The sequence below is a fragment of the Homo sapiens genome, chromosome 15 (genome assembly GCF_000001405.40).
Source record: "Homo sapiens chromosome 15, GRCh38.p14 Primary Assembly".
NCBI classification, from domain to species: domain Eukaryota; kingdom Metazoa; phylum Chordata; class Mammalia; order Primates; family Hominidae; genus Homo; species Homo sapiens.
Window position 1 is genome coordinate 88,072,992 of NC_000015.10, and position 18,215 is coordinate 88,091,206.

Below are 18,215 nucleotides of genomic sequence, written 5' to 3' on the forward strand. Positions count from 1 at the left end.
TTCCCATTTGACAGATGGGAAAAATGGGGCTCAGGTAGCTTGAGGGTCACGGAGTGGTGAGACAGGCTTTGCTCTCATGCCTGACAGATCCCAGAGCTATTAATAACATTGGTGTAAAGACACCTGCGGTTCTCAAAGCCTGGTTCTCAGACCAGCAGCATCAGCCTCACCTGGGATCTTGTTAAAAATGCACATTCTTGGGTTCCATCCTTCTCCCACAATTGGAAGAGAAACTCTGGGGCAGGGGCCCAGCGATCTGCCTGTTAACAAGCCCTCTGTGTAATGCTAATGTAGATTGTTCAAGAGCATTCAGCTGACTGGGAAGCATGGCCTAAAACAGTGATTCCCATAGTGTGAGCCCCAGGTCAGCAGCAGCAGCATCACCTGGAAACTGGTGAGAAAGTCAAGCTCCCAGCTTGTTACTGATATACTGAATCCAAGAGTCAGGGGTGGGGCCCAGAGGCGGGTGTTGTCACAAGCCTTTCAGGTGGCTCATAAGCATGCTCAAGCTGGACAACCATGGGCCAGTTTACATCCTGCCGCCCCTTCTTCCAGGAAGGGAGGGCAGTATAAGCAAAGAAAACCCAGAGTGCTTTCCTGTGGGCCATTAACAGCCACCCTTAGGCTGCCCAGGTACAAAATAATGGAGATTCTATAACTCATTAACAAGCTCCAGGAGTTAAATAGTTGAACTTGTTATCTTTGCCTGAAGGACAAAGAGAGAAGAAGGCAAGAGAGAAAATCTAAGGATGCAAGCCCTGGGGGAGGGTCCAGAGTGCTGCAACACCCCCCCGCCCCACCCCGCAGGGAAGAGGAAATAGAGAGGCTTGGTAGGATGGCAAGACAGGGGTGTTCATGGGGGAAGACTGAGAAAAAAGCATGTGTCTCCAATGGTTTGTTTTCTGTTTTTATTTCTTTGTTTGTTTCTTTGTTTCTGGTATTATGTATTCCAGAAGCAACCAGGCAGGAAGATGTGTGGCCTCAGGTAACTCACCAAATGGAAACTGATCTGTAGAAGAAATATACCAGACCAAGGGGGCTTGTCTCTGTCTCTCCGGAATATGCAGGTGCTACCAGCCCCTGATGAACACCGACCATGTGCCAAGCGCCATGGAGCAAGCTTAATGTACACCATTGGGTTTAGTTCTCACTGTAGCCCCCACTTCCCACTTCACAGAAGAGGAGACAGAGACTCAGAGGACTAAGTATTATACTCAAAGTCATACAGCTTGGAAATAAAAGCAGTGTCCTCTCTTGTCTTGCTGCCGGAAAGAACCAGGTGGCCTCTGGTCCAGCTCCATCCATTAGAATGATGAAGTGCATGGCACTGCCCAAAATGGTGGCCACTGGCCACATGTGGTTACTGAGCTCTTGAAATGTGGCTACTTCTTCTGAGAAGCTGGTTTTTAAGTTTTATTTCATTTTAGTTAATTTAAATTGCCCACACACGGCTAGCAGCCATCGTATTGGAGAGTGCAGCTCTAGACCACTGGTGAGTCCCTGTCTCTGACATCAGGCTGATCCTGTCCCCTGGATGACTCAAGCTCCGAGAGAAGTGGAGACAGGATTCTCACCCAGGCCCTAATCATGGAAAGAGCAACAAACACCCTTTGGCTTGGGTCACTCCCACCCAGCATCCTCTTGCTAGTAAATGATGACATCAATAGCCGTATATGATGTGGTTTTCCTGTGGCTCTGCCAAAGAAAATCTCTCTTTTCCTGGACCATCCCATTTCTACCATCAAACTAGAGAAATTCATCTTGATATACAGGTTCCTTGGGATTCGAATTGACAGACCTAGTCAGAAAGCAACGCCGGTCCTTAAATCGTGCTATCTTTAAGGCACAGTGCCAGAGCTCTCAGAACCTCCATTTTCCCATCTGTAAAATGGGAATAAAATAATCACCTATGATAGTTATTGGAATCAAGTGAGCTGATGTATGATGTAAGGGACTTTCTACATCTCCCGGCACCCTTTTCCCCTTACACCCAATTCCACTCCACGATTCCTGTCTGACCTGTAAGCTCCAGGGGGTTGTTCTAACTATTAATGGACTATAAGGCACCTCACATTTCCACCTTAAACAATATCTCCCCAAACTCCTTCTAGAATTAGTGTTGGAACCTACATGTAAACTGTACAGTGACCCTGCAGTGTGCATCCCTCAGCTGCCTGGATCAGCTGGGCCTCCCTGCCATGAACTTGACCACCCTGGCTCCTGCATGCTGGGCCTGAGCCAAGCCCACCCGAGGGCCTGAGCCACCATCCACAGGGTCAACAACTCTATCTGCATGACGTCAGCCCCTGTCTAGCCGGGAACTCAGCGAGGATGTCAAAAATCAAATTAATTTTGCCTTCACCAGTATGACTGTCAATAAAAAGTTATTATTCAGTCAGTAGATGTTTTAATTACCCAAATGTCAAGCACTGTCACCCTCCATTAGCAGCTTAACGGTCCTAATAGACAACGCCCTGAAAGGAACCTCAGGAGAATCCTGAGCCCCACTGTGTCCCTAAAGAGGACCCCAGCAGAGCCACTTCACCCTAACCATTCACATTCCCTTCTTATAAGTCTCCAAAGGAGAAGTCTCCCTTTTTTCTTTATGTTTGTTGTTGTTGTTGTTGTTGTTGCTGTATTTCTAAAAGTCTCTCTCTCGAAGAGCATCCATGTACCTCAAAATTCCCTCCACCCAGCTGCAATTTCTCTTGCTTCGGTTCCATGATGGTTATTTGCAACAACAGTAGATACTGTTTTGTAGGCCACAAAGTAGAGGGACCCTGAGCACCACTTGGTGGGGGCAGGGGGTGTCACATGAGAGTCCCAATTCTACTACTTGCTGACCATGTGCCTGGGGACAAATTATTCAGCTTCCTTGGGCTTCAGTTTCCTCACCTGCGAAATAAGGATAGTCATACGTACTTTCTATGAGATCATGTATGTGAAGCACTAAACTCAGAGCCTGGCACACACTCAGCTTTCAGCTTAGGCTAGACACTGGTTTTGATGGTGGTGGTGCTATTGTTGTAGATTTAGGAAGCATCACAGAGCATGTATTAGTCTGTTCTCATGCTGCTAATAAAGACATACCTGAGACTGCGTAATTTATAAAGAAAAAGAGGTTTAATGGACTCATAGTTCCACTTTGCTGGGGAGGCCTCACAATTATGGCAGAAGGCTAAGGTGGAAGCAAGATATGTTTTACATGGTGGCAGGTAAGAGGATGTGTGCAGGGGAACTGCCCTTTATAAAACCATCAGATCTCATGAGACTTATTCACTATCATAAGACCAGCACTGGAAAACCCACTCCCATGATTCAGTTACCTCCCACTGAGTCCCTCCCACAACATATGGGAATTATAGGAGCCACAATTCAAGATGAGATTTGGGTGGGGAGACAGCCAAACCATATCAGAGCAGATTAAGTGGGATTTCCTCTTTCAAGTCCTCTCCTGACCCCTCACTACATCATCCTCTAATCCCCTAGTGCACCAGATGAGGCTTCTTTCACTGCCTTCATTGATGGTTTCATTTATTCAAATAATATTTCAATGTAAACACCTACCACATGCCAAAAACTGCTCTCAGACAGGGGATACAAGAAGAAAATAGACAGGGAACTTGTCTTCACAGAGCATTAGGAGGGAGCTGATGACTTATCAAGTAAGTATACATATGTAAAAAAAAAAAAAAAAAAAGCACTTAAAGCTGTGACGAATGCAATGAAGGAAAAGTACAGTGTACTATGAGAGAAAGCACAAAGGGGGCCTAACATTATCCAGCAAGCAGGGAACCACAGGTTTTAAAACACTTTTGAGGCTGGGTGCAGTGGCTCATGCCTGCAATCTCAACACTTTGGGAATCCGAGGTGGGTGGATCACCTGAGGTCAGGAGTTTGAGACCAGCCTGGTGAACATGGTGAAACCCCCACCTCTACCAAAAATACAAAAAATTAGCCGGGTGCAGTGCCATGTGCCTGTAGTCCCAGTACTCGGGAGGCTGAGGCATGAGAATCGCTTGAACCTAGGAGGCGGAGGTTGCAACGAGCCGAGATCATGCCACTGCACTCCAGCCAGGGTGACAGAGCTAGACTCCATCAAATAAATAAATAAATAAAACATTTTTGAGGATGAAACTGCATTTCTCCAAGCAGATAAATGAAGGAATGGACAGTTGGATGGATATAAATATTTCTGCTCTACCTTCAGTTGCTAAACTTTCCCCTGGCTTCTGGCCCCTTCCTCCCATTCCTGCTCCCTTCACTGGGTTTTTGCCTTCACTTTCTCTGTTCTCAGCAACATCTTGACCCCAGACCAATGTTTTATCTTGAGTCACGAACTGCATGGCTCAGAAATGCTGCCTGGAATGCCATTTCTTCTCAAAAACCCTTACGTAGCCAACATTTTCCAGTCTGCCTTCCCAGCCCTGCCTCCCCCACCCTCGCCCTCACCCCAGAGTTGTCTCCACGCCTCCCCATGGGAGTTTAAAAATGGAAAGCCACGTGCAAATCAAAACCTTGAGAAACCCGGCACTTTGGAGAAGTAAGCACCTTCCTGGGAAGGTGGTTTATGCCTGAGTCATTTGTCTGGCTACATTAGACTCCAAGGCCTCAGGCAGGGGAACAACGACGACGTTATATCTCCTAGCCTGCTGAACACAGTAGGGGTACTCAACAAATCATAAATAATGACAAGGATGAGGCAGCAAGTGGGAAGACTGAGTGAAACACTCTAAAAACCTCCCTCCTGTACTTGGAGCTGTCACGGAGTTGGGATGTGGCCCCGTTTCCTGCCTGAGCCTCTAGGCAAGGAACTTTACCCTGTTTGTAAAATAACAGGTGGGTCTCCTTCCCAGACACACAACTTAGAAACACTGGCACCAATAACCACACAACACAGCCAACTGAGGACAGAGCAGTGTGGGCTGCAAAGACAGAATCTCACAGGAAATCTCGGATCATGTCCTAACAGGCCCCACAGGCCTCCTGGGCTACAGGGATCCAGCCAGCAGCTCCCATTGGTTTGAGAATGGCAGCAAAGACAGCAACCCCCTGCCCAGGGGCCATGCCTCTAAGAATAGAGGACAAACACATTCAGAGTTGGACAGAAGCTTGAATCTATAAGGTGTATACATCATGTCCTTGAACAGATGGGTCTCTTGACATCTCGGCACCTCCTCAGCTCTGTCCTCTTAGCATGGGCTCAGGGTCTGTTGCAATGTACACCCTATTGTATGTTCTGGGGGTAGAGGTACAGCAATACAGAAAGTCCCTGCTCTCAGGGAGCTTTGTCCTTATTGGCGAAGAAGCACATACCTCACATGGCACGTCCCAACAGGTGCTTCGATAATAGTAAAGTGGGGTTAAAGAAAAGTGGGGTCAGGCCTGGTGCGGTGGCTCACGCCTGTAATCCCGGCACTTCGGGAGGCCTAGGATCACTTGAAGTCAGGAGTTCAAAGACCAGCCTGGCCAACATGGCGAAACCCTGTCTCTACTAAAAATACAAAAATTAGCTGGACATGGTGGTGCACGCCTGTAATCTCAGCTACTCAGGAGGCTGACGCAGGAGAATCACTTGAACCCGGGAGGTGGAGGTTGCAGTGAGCCAAGATCGCACCATTGCACTCCAGCCTGGGCAACAGAGTGAGACTCCATCTCAAAGTTAAAAACAACAACAACAACAAAAGAAAAGTGAGGTAAGTGAAGGCCTCTGCCACCTTGTGACCTCAGAACTGGGACCTAAGCTCAGCAGGGGATGAACCATAAGGAGTCCTGGGGAAGCGACACTCCAGGCAGAGGGAGACACAGGGCAAAGGTCCTAAGGGAAGATGTTCTTCTATATCTGGGCAACAGCAAAAAGGCTGATGTGGCCAGAGTGGACGAGCACGGGGGAAAGTGGCAGGGGCTTAGGTCAGGAGGTGTGGGGCCTTTGGCTTTCCGCTGCATGCGATGGGGCACCCCAGTGGGTCTGAAGGACTGGAGGGAGCCTCACAGTGTGTTCTCAAAGGACCCCTCTGGCTGCTGGGTAGAGATGGGAGTGCAGGGAGCACAGGTGAACAGGTGAACATGGGGAGCCCAGTCGGTGGATGTGGTGTTGGCGGAGGGGTGGCGTTTGCGGGCAGCCTTCACAGCTGTGGAGCAAGAAGGGATGGTGGCAGGAACTAGGTGGTACTTGTGGAGGTGCTGGGAAATGGTTAGACTCGTGACACAGTTTGAAGTCAGAACAAAGAGACTGGGATTAGATGTGAAGTAAGAGAGTCATCAAAGACGATCAGCGTTTTGACAAGAGCTAGGCCAGCAGCTAGCACAGAGCAGGTCCTCACACACATTAGAGCTTTTCTCCCTTCCCCAGCGCACCTGCCATCAGTCACAGGTGCCAAGAAAGCGGACGGATATACCAGGATGCCCCTGCTTCCAGAAGTTTAGGAGGCAGACAAGTACAGAGAGGAATTGGGAAAAATGGTGGCAGAGCCTACCTCCCTGACAAATTCTGTCTCCAGGGCACTGGCAGGCACGTGCTCTCAGCTCATAGCTTAAAGGGAGAGCAGACTTGAGCATACAGCCAGCTGATAGGGGTTGATTAGTGGCAAGAGAATTCTAGAACAAAACCCTAAAGGGATTTAATTTTGTTTTTAATTACAAAAGCAACATGGATTTAGTGGACATGCCATTTGACTCCAAAATTCCACTTACATGAACTGACAAAAGTCTATGCAATAATTTAAGTAAAGGACAGTCATCAATACATTATGAATAAAAAATGGGAAACAATTTAAAATTCAAAGAAGTTTGCATTAAATCCCTAACTTGAAGATGGCGAAAGAAAAGCACGAAGAAAATAAAAATAAAAATCACCCATCATCTCCAAACCTAGAAATAACCCCAATTAAATGGCTGGCATATATCTTTCCAACTCTTTTTTTTCTATGCACCAATATGGATTTTTTGTTGTCAATATAAAATTAGGATTATATTAAATACAATCTGACTTTTTCTATGTAACAAATACCGTAAATATTTTTCATGTCTTTACATATTGTTCTACAACATATTTTAATGGTTTCATGGTGTTTCATTATTTGAATGAACCATGATTTACATAACAGATTTTGTATTGTTGGACATTTCAATCATTTCCAATTTTCCATCATTACAAATAGCACTTCAATACACAACCTTGTATGTGAACTTTTGTGGCCATCTCTGATTATTTCCTTAAGGTAAGTAACATGCCAAAACATGGAATTGCTCAGTCAAAGAGAATATCTTTTTTAAGGTTTTTGAAAAATACTGTCAAACAAGCCCTCTGGTAAAGTTGTACCAATTTAATTCCCTATAGCAGGGGAATGAGAGCCCCCTTTTCTCTATATCTAAACCATCATGTATTATTTTTGCCAATTTAATGGGGGAGAACAGAATCTTGTAACTGATTTAATTAATGTTTCTTTGATCCCTACTTAAGCTGAACAAATTTCCATATGTTTATTAGCCATTTTACTTTCTAATTCTGGGAATTGCCTGTTCCTGCTTTTTGTTTATCTTCTTCATGCTGATTTTTGAGAGCCCAAAGGCAACTGGCAATTTACAAGGAAAAGTTACTCCAAAAGCCACCCTGGGCCTGAGGACCAAACATCACTTACAGGAAGTCCCAGTAGGTTTGGCTAAACCCCACAGTGACGTGGCTCTTCCAATCTCATGGCCAAAGAGCCCCAGATTGGAAGGCAGGAGCAAAGACCCAGAGTCCAAACAACTGAGGCTGGTTAGTCCCTGGCCTGGTTTCATCAGAGGTGGAGAGCAGCAGGCAGGGGAAGCAAGCATGGTGCCAATGACCTCCATATGGAAGCAGTTTGCCATCTCCATTGGGAAGGAAGGAAAGTGGGCACACAGGTGCAACTGGCAGTGTTGGTCCAACCAGTCAAGGCCAAAAAAAATGACTTATGCCTCGAGAATGAAAGTGCCACTACATGGCAGCTTAAGTCTCTGAGAGTCACCATGCTCAGTTCCCCTGTCCTTGCACTAAGCGGAGAGAGGCTGGGATGAATTAGCTGGAAGGGGAATTCTTAAACAGAGCTGTGTATAGTTCACTTCTAGCACAGATTGGCAAAGGGCAGCTGCTTGGGTTGGAAAGAAAACTGTTTCCCAAAGCTTGTTGAAATCTCCCTCCTGCGTGAGTGTGCCTGGCCAGGCTGAGATTGAGGCCTCCATATATGGACCCTAGAAATGAGACAGAAAGCCTTAGGGCCTGGATCCAATGACCAGTACCTAGGCTCAGAAGGTGACAGAAGGATGGGGTGGAGTGGGACAGGTGGGATGTGTCCCACACCTGCTGGACAACCAGGACACCCCAAGTGCGCCCCTGCCACCACTCCCATCCAGGCCTCAGAACTATGCAAACTGCCGTCACATTTTGTCCAGGCCACATTCCTCAATCCCACTGACCGACCATGTTTCCCAACCAGAGCCCAGACATGCTAGCCCAACAAGTCTCATTCCATCTCTTCAAGCAAACTTCCAACTGCCTATGACAGGCATGGGCCCTTTCTGGAATCCTAGTGGGCTGGTCGTGGACACTCCATCCTCTGTGTGCCTCCAACACGCCCAGTCCCTCTGAATCGGAAAGGGTAGGAGGCAAGGGCTGTGTGGGCAGTGCCCCCTTCCTTCTGAGCCCCCAGAATCCTCTTCATGTCAAAATGGCGCAGAGAGGGGCAAAAGTGGTCTCTCCATAAATGGGGCTGAAGTACCTGAGACAGGGCTGGTTCCCATGCCCGCTTGTTCCTCCATATGGTAACAGCCCCCAACCTCCAGGGCCCTGCCAAACCCTCCCCAACCACCTTACTGTGCATTTCTCATGAGGCTGAGGCCATTCGATCAGAGCCCATTCAGGTGCACTCAACTCTGCTGTGGCCCTCTGTGTCACCAAAACCCTGCTTTGCTTTTTCTTTCCAAGGGCAACCCTTCTTATGCCTTGCTCCCCCTGGGCTCTGCCCTCATTCCTACAACAATCTCCAAGCTCAGACTCTAAAAGGTTCACCTCCAGCACTTTGGGAGGCTGAGGCAGGCAGATCACGAGGCCAGGAGATGGAGACCATCCTGACTAACACGGTGAAACCCCGTCCCTACTGAAAATACAAAAAAAATTAGCCAGGCGTGGTGGCGCACACCTGTAGTCCCAGCTACTTGGGAGGCTGAGGCAGGAGAATGGAGTGAACCCGGGAGGTGGAGCTTGCAGTGAGCCGAGATCGTGCCACTGCACTCCAGCCTGGGTGACAAAGTGAGACTCTGTCTCAAAAAAAAAAAAAAAAAAGAGGTTCACCTGACCATGGTGCCCCCAGACTTCAGCAGCGGGGAAGAAGAGAGAATGAATTTTTTACTTTTTAATGAACAGATCACATACATGCAATGAGTGCTGATCTGAAGTGTACAGCTCAGGAAGTTTTTGCATGTGTGTACACCTGTATCACCACCACCCAGATGAAAATGCAGAACGTTTCCAGTGTCCCAAGAAAGTTCTCTCATGCTCTCACCCAATCATTATCAGAAACAACTGCTATCTGACTTCCATCCACATTGATTAGTTTTGCTTATTTCTGAACTTCATATAAATGGAATCACATTGCATGTTCTCTCTTATGTCTGGCTTCTTTCACTCAACATAATGTCCATGAGACACTTATTAATTTTGCTGCTGGAGCTAAGAGCCAAAGAATGTAGTGATTCCTACTCTAGAATACTAATAGGCTTGCAGAGTGTGTTCCCAAGAGACCTACAGGTCCCACTAAGCCGGGAAGGAAACGGAATCGGGGTCTAACTGGGGCCGGGAGATGTTTACCCCTGATTTATCTGATTCAGCTCTTTATCTCTTTTACACAGGGGCTTCCACAAAGACTTCTCTTGCCCAAAAGGCTCTCAGGCAAAACAACAACACAGAGAAGCTTACTCAGGGTTTCTCCAAATATACAGTGTTTCTCTGCTCCTTGGTCAAAAATTAAGAGGGAAGGATAAAAACTTCAAGGCCAACATACTTTGGAATGTCTGGATGACTGCGGGTGGGAAAAACCAATCATCCCTTTGGTGTCCTTATTCCTACCAGGAGACTAAAAGACTTTGCAGCTCCCACCTTCTCCTGATTTCAAGAATAGTATCACAGAGATCTGCAACAGAAGTTACCAACCCTCCTCTCCACCCCTGCACGGTCCTCTGTTCCTGGCCACAGGAGAGAGGGGAGTGGTATTTCTTTTTTGGGAGGGAGACAGAGTCTCCCTCTTGTCACCCAGGCTGGAGTGCAACGGCCCAATCTCGGCTCACTGCAACCTCTGCCTCCCAGGTTCAAGCAATTCTCCTGCCTCAGCCTCTCTGGAGTAGCTGGGATTATAGGCACCCACCACCATGCCCAGCTAATTTTTCTATTTTTAGTAGGGACAAGGTTTTACCATTTGGCCAGGTTGTTCTCAAACTCCTGACCTCAAGTGATCCACCTGCCTCAGTCTCCCAAAGTGCTGGGATTATAGGCATGAGCCACCGCGCCCGGCCAGGAGTTTTCTAATAGCGTGTCTGAACCACACCAGATTATTTGTGTTGCCTGGAAGGGTTAAGACAGTATGGGCCAAGATGGGACAGTTCATAGTCAAGAAGGAGTGGGCAGTAATATCTCACATGTCATTGTGGCTCACATCAATTGCCTTCACCCCGCTGGCTCAAAGTCACTGCAAGAGTTAGATGTTGGCCTGTTCCCCCATTTGAAGGCACAGGGGAGATATATGAGGAACAATTCAATTAAAAGCAATTAAAAGGGCTTTAGGCTTGAGGAGTAAACAAGAAGGAACCTAAGACTTGTAGTAACTTCCTTGGCTCCAAGCCCTATTATCACGGTAGGGAAAGTTGGGGAGGGGAGGGGTGTAAGGCTTCTCCAGCAATCCCACAGCCTCCAATTCTGTCCCAGACCCTGGCAGAGACACACACGTTTTAACAAACACTCTTCCCCTAATTTTAAAGCCCCTGTGGATTGCAAGGAAAATTTAATCCATATGTCTCTGATTCATTTATACTTAACTCATCAACATGCTGTTTTGTAAGAGCCATTTCATGTCCAAGTGCCTTTTTTTTTTTTTTTAAGGTCTTAAAACTCTGGGGTTTTTTTCTTCGAAACAGGAAATCATACTGTGCCAAGAGAAAAGGAACTTGAGCGCTCAGGGGTTCAAACTGCGTTCAAAGCTCCTGCTTCCCCAGAGACCCCAACCAACTAAAAGGATGTCCCACTGCCCCCTCACTCCCCTGCACCCCAATGGGAGACACAGATGCTAAAAGCAGCCAAATCTGACCAGGAGAAGACTGGAGAAAGAAGCAGGGTTAGGCTAGTTCAGGGTAAAATTGTTCTCCTGTTCACAGCCAAGACTGAGCTCCTCAGAGCCCACTTAGGCCTGCAGGCTGCAGGAGGGAGAGGAGGCAAGCCAGGAGTTCCATTCTGCTTCATTGGAAGCAGCGTCTTCACTCAAAACAGAATGCTGCAAGCAGGTTCCTCTGGAAATGGCCCGAAGTCCCTGGTCTGAGCTCAACTGTGGACTCTGGCAAGGTCTCTGGAATGGCAGTGAACTTGGAAGGTCCAAGCCAGAGAGCTGGAAGAATGACCACTGCTCCAGCCTCACGTCTCCTTTCCCCCAACCCTCTCACCTTGTGAGTCTCCTCTGCAGCTGCACTGCACAAAGACGTCCCCCTGCCCTCCAGCCCAGTAGAGCTGAAGGTTACCAAGGGGACAGTAAATGAGTGCTCCATTTTCTTAAACCTCAGGGAAGGCTTCTCATGCAGGCAACTCTACAATGGGTGCACAGCTGAGCAGGACACACTGAGAGCCACTGTAAGCTCTGGTCAGCCTCTGGACAGCCACATCCTCCCTTTGACAAGGGGCATGTAGAACCATAGTATGTACATGCGCCCGCATGGGTGTTCACACAATCTGCATGTGCTGCACAGCTGGGATAACCTATATATCAGGGACTGATTTGACTGGTCCCTCAAGAGCAAGAAGAGAGTTTAGCATGAATTCTTAGGTTAACCAATTCCCAGGGTCAAAAGAGTAGAAAACAAGATAGCCAATGTCAAATAAAACAGAAACAGCCTGGGTGCAGCCAAGCAACCATGGTTAATAAAATCCCTGACCCACCTTTCTTCCTACGTTGAGAAACAGGCTGAAGTCAATAACCACTTAGATAAGGGATGGGTTTTCAGAGGCAGGAACACCATCACCCTTAGCCAGGAAACCATATTTTAGAGTAATAGATGGGATGATTGTTCAACTCATATTCATGCCCCTCCATGTCTCTGCCCCACTGACTCTGGGCTTGGCCCAGTGACTTGCTTTGGGCAATGAAATGCAAGGGAGGTGACAGTGACTGTTCCAAGCCAAGGTTTTAAGAGGTACAGACTGTTTCTGCTCATCAGCTTGCATGCCTACCATCTGCCATGAGAAGAATATGCTCTGCCCCTTCAGCCGGCACCCCAGAATGAGAAACATGGGGCACACCAGCACCTTACCGACTGCCTGGAGCCAAACTCAGCCAAGCACATCAGGAATCAGCCAAACCCAGCCAACCCACAGGCCTGGGCACAAGAAATAAATGCTTGTCAGAAAAGACTGAGTGGGGGGTGGTTTGTTACCCAGCAGTATGCAGTAATCGCTAACTAAGATACATTGCTTACAATTTCTAATAACCAGACTACAAATATGCATTGAGCCAGCCCTGCCTTCCACCTAAGACCTGCGCTGGCCAGTCTTGCCCTATAAAACTGGGCTTGATGACAGTCAAATCTCCTCGCCATGTGATTGTTCGTTTATTACTTCATTCCACAAACATCTATTAAATGCTGGCCAATAGGGATACAGAGATTAATGAGGACATGGCTAGGGCCTTGAGGAGCTAATAGGATATATGAGAAGCAGACACATAAAGAGAAAATGATAGTATGTGATACAGATGATGACAATGACAGAATGAGCCTAGGGCATCGAGGCATCACAGTCTAAGAGGCATATGTCACCAATGCATGGAGCAGAGTGCAGGAGCAGGACAAAGCTGATGAAGACTTCATAGGTAGGAGAGGTGTCCGATGCCTGGATCCTAAGACATAACCAGAACCGTTCTCTAGAGAGGACTCTGCCAAGAAACCACACCTTCCTACCTTTGGAACAGTTACCCAGTCTCACGACTGCAGATATTGCACATGACGCCTCCATTATTTGTTCAAGTGTTCAAAAATTTTTCATTGAGCACTTACTATATGCCCGATCTGCAATGTCCAACTCAGTAGCCACTAGCTACATGCAATTACTGTGTATTTGAAAAGTGGCTGGTCTAAGCTGAGATGTGCTGTAATTATAAAAACATGCTGGATTTCAAGGACCTACCATGAGCAAAAAAAAGATTTAAAACATCTCATTAATTTTTAAAATAACATGGTCAAATGATAGTATTTTAGATATATTGGGCTAAAATACATAATTAGAATTAATTTCACCTGTTTATTTTATTTTTTAAAAACATGGCTACTAGAAAACATCAAAGTATGTATGGGGCTCTCTCGTATTCTGATTAGACAGCACTGTGCCAGACTCTAGACCTAAATTTGGTTGCACATTAGAATCCCCTGGGGATCTTTTAAAAATTCTAAAGCCCAGGCTGCATCCCAGACCAATAAAATCAGAATGTCTAGCGACGGGCCCCATGCTTCAGTGCAGTTTGGAGTACGCAGGTGGTTTCAATGGGCAGACAAGTTCAGGAACGATTATTGTAGCAAGAGGGATCCTCTCCTAGCCTGGGGCAGTTGTGTGGTGGATGACCCTAGTTTTTCTCTTCACCTGGAAGTATGCAGCTCTCCACCCTCCATGCCTGAAGGAGGGAGCTTTTCAGTGGGCCAAGCCTAATTGAATAAAAGTCATGGCCTCCTTCTAGGCTCTGCCCTTCCAGGCTCTGTGATTTGACATCAGTTACTTAACCTCTCCATACCCAAGGGGACCCAGCTCAAAAACGGGTGCATCACTGCATTGGGTCACAGAGAGGTTTCCAGCAGTGGAACACACACACAACCTAAAATCATTTTGCTCACACAGTTTATCTAAATATTAACTAAGCGTGATGTGAGGCGAATATAACAATTAACGGTACACAGCAAGCTCCCCAGAAGCAAAGTGGGTACCCCAGGGAGTCATGAAACGCATGCGTGTGTGAAAGTGAGAACAGTACTGCAGAGTAAATAAGGTTCACAAGCTAAAGAGTGGAAGGTGGAGGGGCTCCATGGAGGACAATCTCCACTAGGTCTTTCTCCCTGCCCTGTCTTCTGCAAGCGGCCCTGGGGGAGTGTCCGGCAGGTCTCTCGGGAGGGGCTGCTGTCTAGGTCCCATCTCCCTTGCATTTTGCCCCCACTGTGCCCCTCTTGCTAGAGGAACCATCCCAGTAATAAATTTCCACTGTCACTCAGCCTCATGAATTCCGGTCCTTAGCCACAGAAAGCACTGTTGCAAGTGGGGACAGGAGGAAGAGAGTGTAGGCAGGAACATTACCTGTGAGAAAGCTCAGCAGATGCTGAGACCTTCCTCTTGGGATCAATGGGATGGGTGAGAGAGCTGAAGGAGGCACCATACATGGACTTATGAGGGCTTCCCACAAAGGGTCATACCTGCATCAGCACCAGAGCCCCAGAGATGTCACCATCTCGACAGTGGTGGCGATTTCACTGGCATATGCAACGTCACAACCTCAAATCATACTTTAAATACTTCCAGCTGGCTGGGTGTGGTGGCTCATGCCTGTAATCCCAGCACTTTGGGAGGTCGAGGTGGGTGGATCACCTGAGGTCAGAAGTTCAAGACCAGCCTGGCCAACATGGTGAAACCTCATCTCTACTAAAAAGTGCAAAAAATAAGTCAGGCATGGTGGCATGCCCTATTAATCCCAGCTACTAGGGAGGCTGACGTGGAAGAATTGCTTGAACCCAGGAGGTAGAGGCTGCAGTGAGCCAAGATCACGCCACTCCACTCCAGCCTGGGAAACACAGCAAGTTCCCACCTTAAATAAATAAGTAAATGAATACTTCCAGCTGATTGTGTGTAAATCAAGCCTCAATAAAGCTGTTAAAAAATATGTCAGTGCCAAGCTGTGAGATCTTGAATAAGTCATGAAACCTTCTGGGCCTCAGTTTCCCCACCTGTAAAATGGGTGCAATAAAAGTATCTACCCCAAGGAGTTGTTGAGAGAAAAGCCAGCAAGACTGAGTGGAGCTGGCGTGGAACTATCAGCTCCTATGTTTAACATAGTAATCATAATAGTTGTTGTTGCTATGAGTATTAGAATAATGTCATGAGGCAATAACTTCAGAGGCATGAGATGTTTTTGCTCATCCTTTTGCCCCTGCACTCTGCTATGAGGAAAACGTGGTCTTGTCCCTTCCACCTGGACACCAGAATGAGCAACAAGGAGCATGGGAATGGTAATAATATAGTATTCATAGTAATGATGTACAGCAATAATAGTAGTAATTGTAATAACATGTTGTAACAGTAATGTAATATATATAAGGTTAGTGTATATAATACTATGCATATACCAGCATATATATTACCATTATCATATAATACATAGTCATAGAAGTAATATGGTAATAATAATGGTAACAATTATTTTTAAAGCTGCAAGAGTGCAGAAGCTGTCAGACCAAATGTGGACTGTGAAGTGAATCAGCAGCCTATATGAGCTAGTATTTATAATTCAAGGGACTAGTGGGCATAGTTCCTATCTTGGAAGGCCCTATAGCTGGGAATGGTTAAGAATGAAGGTATTACACAGGGCTCATTCCTGGCTTCCCCGTTCTCCAGCTGTGTGACCCTGGGTAGGCTGCTTAACCTCTCTGACCTTCAGTGTCCCCAGGTATAAAATGGAACTAAAAATATTACTGCTCTTAGGTTCCTCTGAGGGTCCAGTGGGAATATGCACAATCTGTACTGAATATAGTTCCTGACACAGAGCTGATTAAAGAAAGCTGACTAGTTTCAACTCCTCAGCCATCATCATCATCTTCATCAAGGCCACCAAATCTGAGGCTACCTGGCCTTTGGCTGAGTGTGAGTTGAGTGACATCTAAGCTGTCCTTAGTGTGGTATGACGGGGGCGGTGGGGGAGAAGATAGATCTCCAAATCTCAAAACCGACATGCCTGCATTCAAATCCTGCCCTACCACTTCCTGGCTTTGTGCCTGGAGGCCAGTTACTCACCCTTCTTAAGCCTCGGCTCAGTTATCTGCAAAGTAATTTAATAACCAAGAGGCTTAAAAATGCATCTTATTTAACCCAACCATTCCATTTCTAGAAATATTACCCAGGGAAATAATCAGAGATGTACGTGGAGATTTATGCACAATGACATCCATCAGCACATTTAAAAAATAGTGAATAACTGGGAATAAGTAAAATGTCTAACATGGCAGATTAATTACAGTATAGTACGTCCAAGTGATGTAATACTGCACAACTATTAAAAAGCATGTTGTCAAAGACTATTTGAAGACATGGGGGAAATGTCTATGACATATTAATAAGTAGCAAAAGTAGTTTACAAACTAGCTGAGTCCCATTAGCCTTAGGGCACCTTGGATGAATTCCAGAAAGATGCTCCCCTTGCATGGACACAGCCTCCTGACCCTCCTTCCAGCCTTGACTCTGTACTCTTGAGCAGGGCACAACCTGTGCTACTGGACCCAGCAGTCCTTCCTGCTTCCACCCTGGCCCCCTGTGGCTCATTTCCCATGAAGCAGCCAGAGTGGCCCCTTCTAAAATACAGGTCTGCTCATGCCCTCCCCTGCGTTACACCCTCCACAGTCTCCCCACCTGCTTAAATGGCTGCCAGGGTCTTTGCCATAGCCTAGAAGACCCTATGTGGCCTGGCCCTGCATAAACTCACTGGCTTAATCTGCTATTACCCCTGCACCACCGGTCCAGCCACACTGTCCTCCAGGCTGCTCTTTGAACATGCCAGCACAGTTCCATCTCAGGGCCTTTGCACTAGCAGCTCCCTCTGCCAGGAACTCTCTTCCCCGAGATGTCTGTGAAGCCCTCCCCTCTCTGCTCGGCTTGCACTCATTCAAGTAGATTTCCCATCCCAAAGACCTCCCAGCCCTCTCCACCAGCCTGTGCCCTCTTATCTTCAGTCTTCTCCATCTTAGCACTTATCACTACCTGCCATGTTATAGGTTCATTTGTTTGTTTATTGTTTGTCTCTCCTGCTCCCCACCTCGGTCCCCACCAGAATGTAAGCTTCACAAAAGCAGGGACTGTTTTATTTATTGCCAAATCCCGGTATGTAAGCCAGTACTTGGTGCCCAGTGCACGCTCAAAAATGCTGAAGAAAGGAAGGAAGGAGAAAAGGAATGAAGGAAGGGAGGAAGGGAGAAAGGACAGCGTGCCCTAGGCAACGTAGATAAGCATTCTCCTATAAATATATACAAAAAGGAGAAAGAGTGAGATCTCAGAATCTCCCTATGGGATAATCACTTGGCAACCCTGGTAGGAAATCCTTAATGCAAATTCAGCCAGAGTCATTCCTCCTCCAGAAATGACCGTGACAGCTGCTGTCTCTCCAGCCACTCCCTGGGGTGTCATGTCAAACAGATAACAAGTTCACAATGCCAACCTGCCAGTAACTTCTAAGACACAACTTTGCATTTCATCTTCACCTCCTCCTCCCTCAATCCTCCTTACCCCACAACCCCTGACCCACTCTTAATCTCACCATATCCTTCTGCCCAGGGGCCGAACCCTGGCTGCTCCTTCCTATTTCCCCCACCCAGGCAGCAAGCAACTGGCCTTCAGCCCTAAATGTGAAAAAAAAAGCACGGTTTCCAGGACAACTTGGATGCAGCCCTCTTGCCTGCGCCTCTGGGAACCTGGTGCACGGCCATGCGTGCTCAAGCCATCTGACCAAGACTCTCACCTTCAAAAAAAAGAACAGCCAATACTCATCTTAGGAGAGTTGCTGATTTCTAAATCTAATCCCTGTAACTCCTGTGTGAACCCTGGGCCCCAGAGGAAAGTCAGGGGCTAGGGGAGTGGAGCGGCTGACCTCTCCTTAGATGTCTGCCCTCTGAAAGAGGAGCCATGCTAAATTGGGAACCCGTTTTACTACCTGCAGCTTATCTTTACTGATGAAAGGGGAAAAAGGTTAGACCTTTTGTTA

The 18,215-nt window shown here is 47.0% G+C and overlaps 1 protein-coding gene across 31 annotated transcripts in view, besides 1 other annotated feature; it reads right to left on the reverse strand.

Moving 5' to 3' along the window:
• NTRK3 (neurotrophic receptor tyrosine kinase 3) overlaps positions 1 to 18,215 on the reverse strand; it is a 396,989-nt gene that overhangs the window by 213,241 nt on the left and 165,533 nt on the right.
• Positions 14 to 609: an enhancer, noted in NCBI's record as "OCT4-NANOG hESC enhancer chr15:88616236-88616831 (GRCh37/hg19 assembly coordinates)". NCBI's record gives its function as "activates a minimal SCP1, AML or CMV promoter by ChIP-STARR-seq in naive H9 embryonic stem cells {active_cell/tissue: H9 hESC(naive)}" and the evidence as "EXISTENCE:reporter gene assay evidence [ECO:0000049][PMID:30033119]".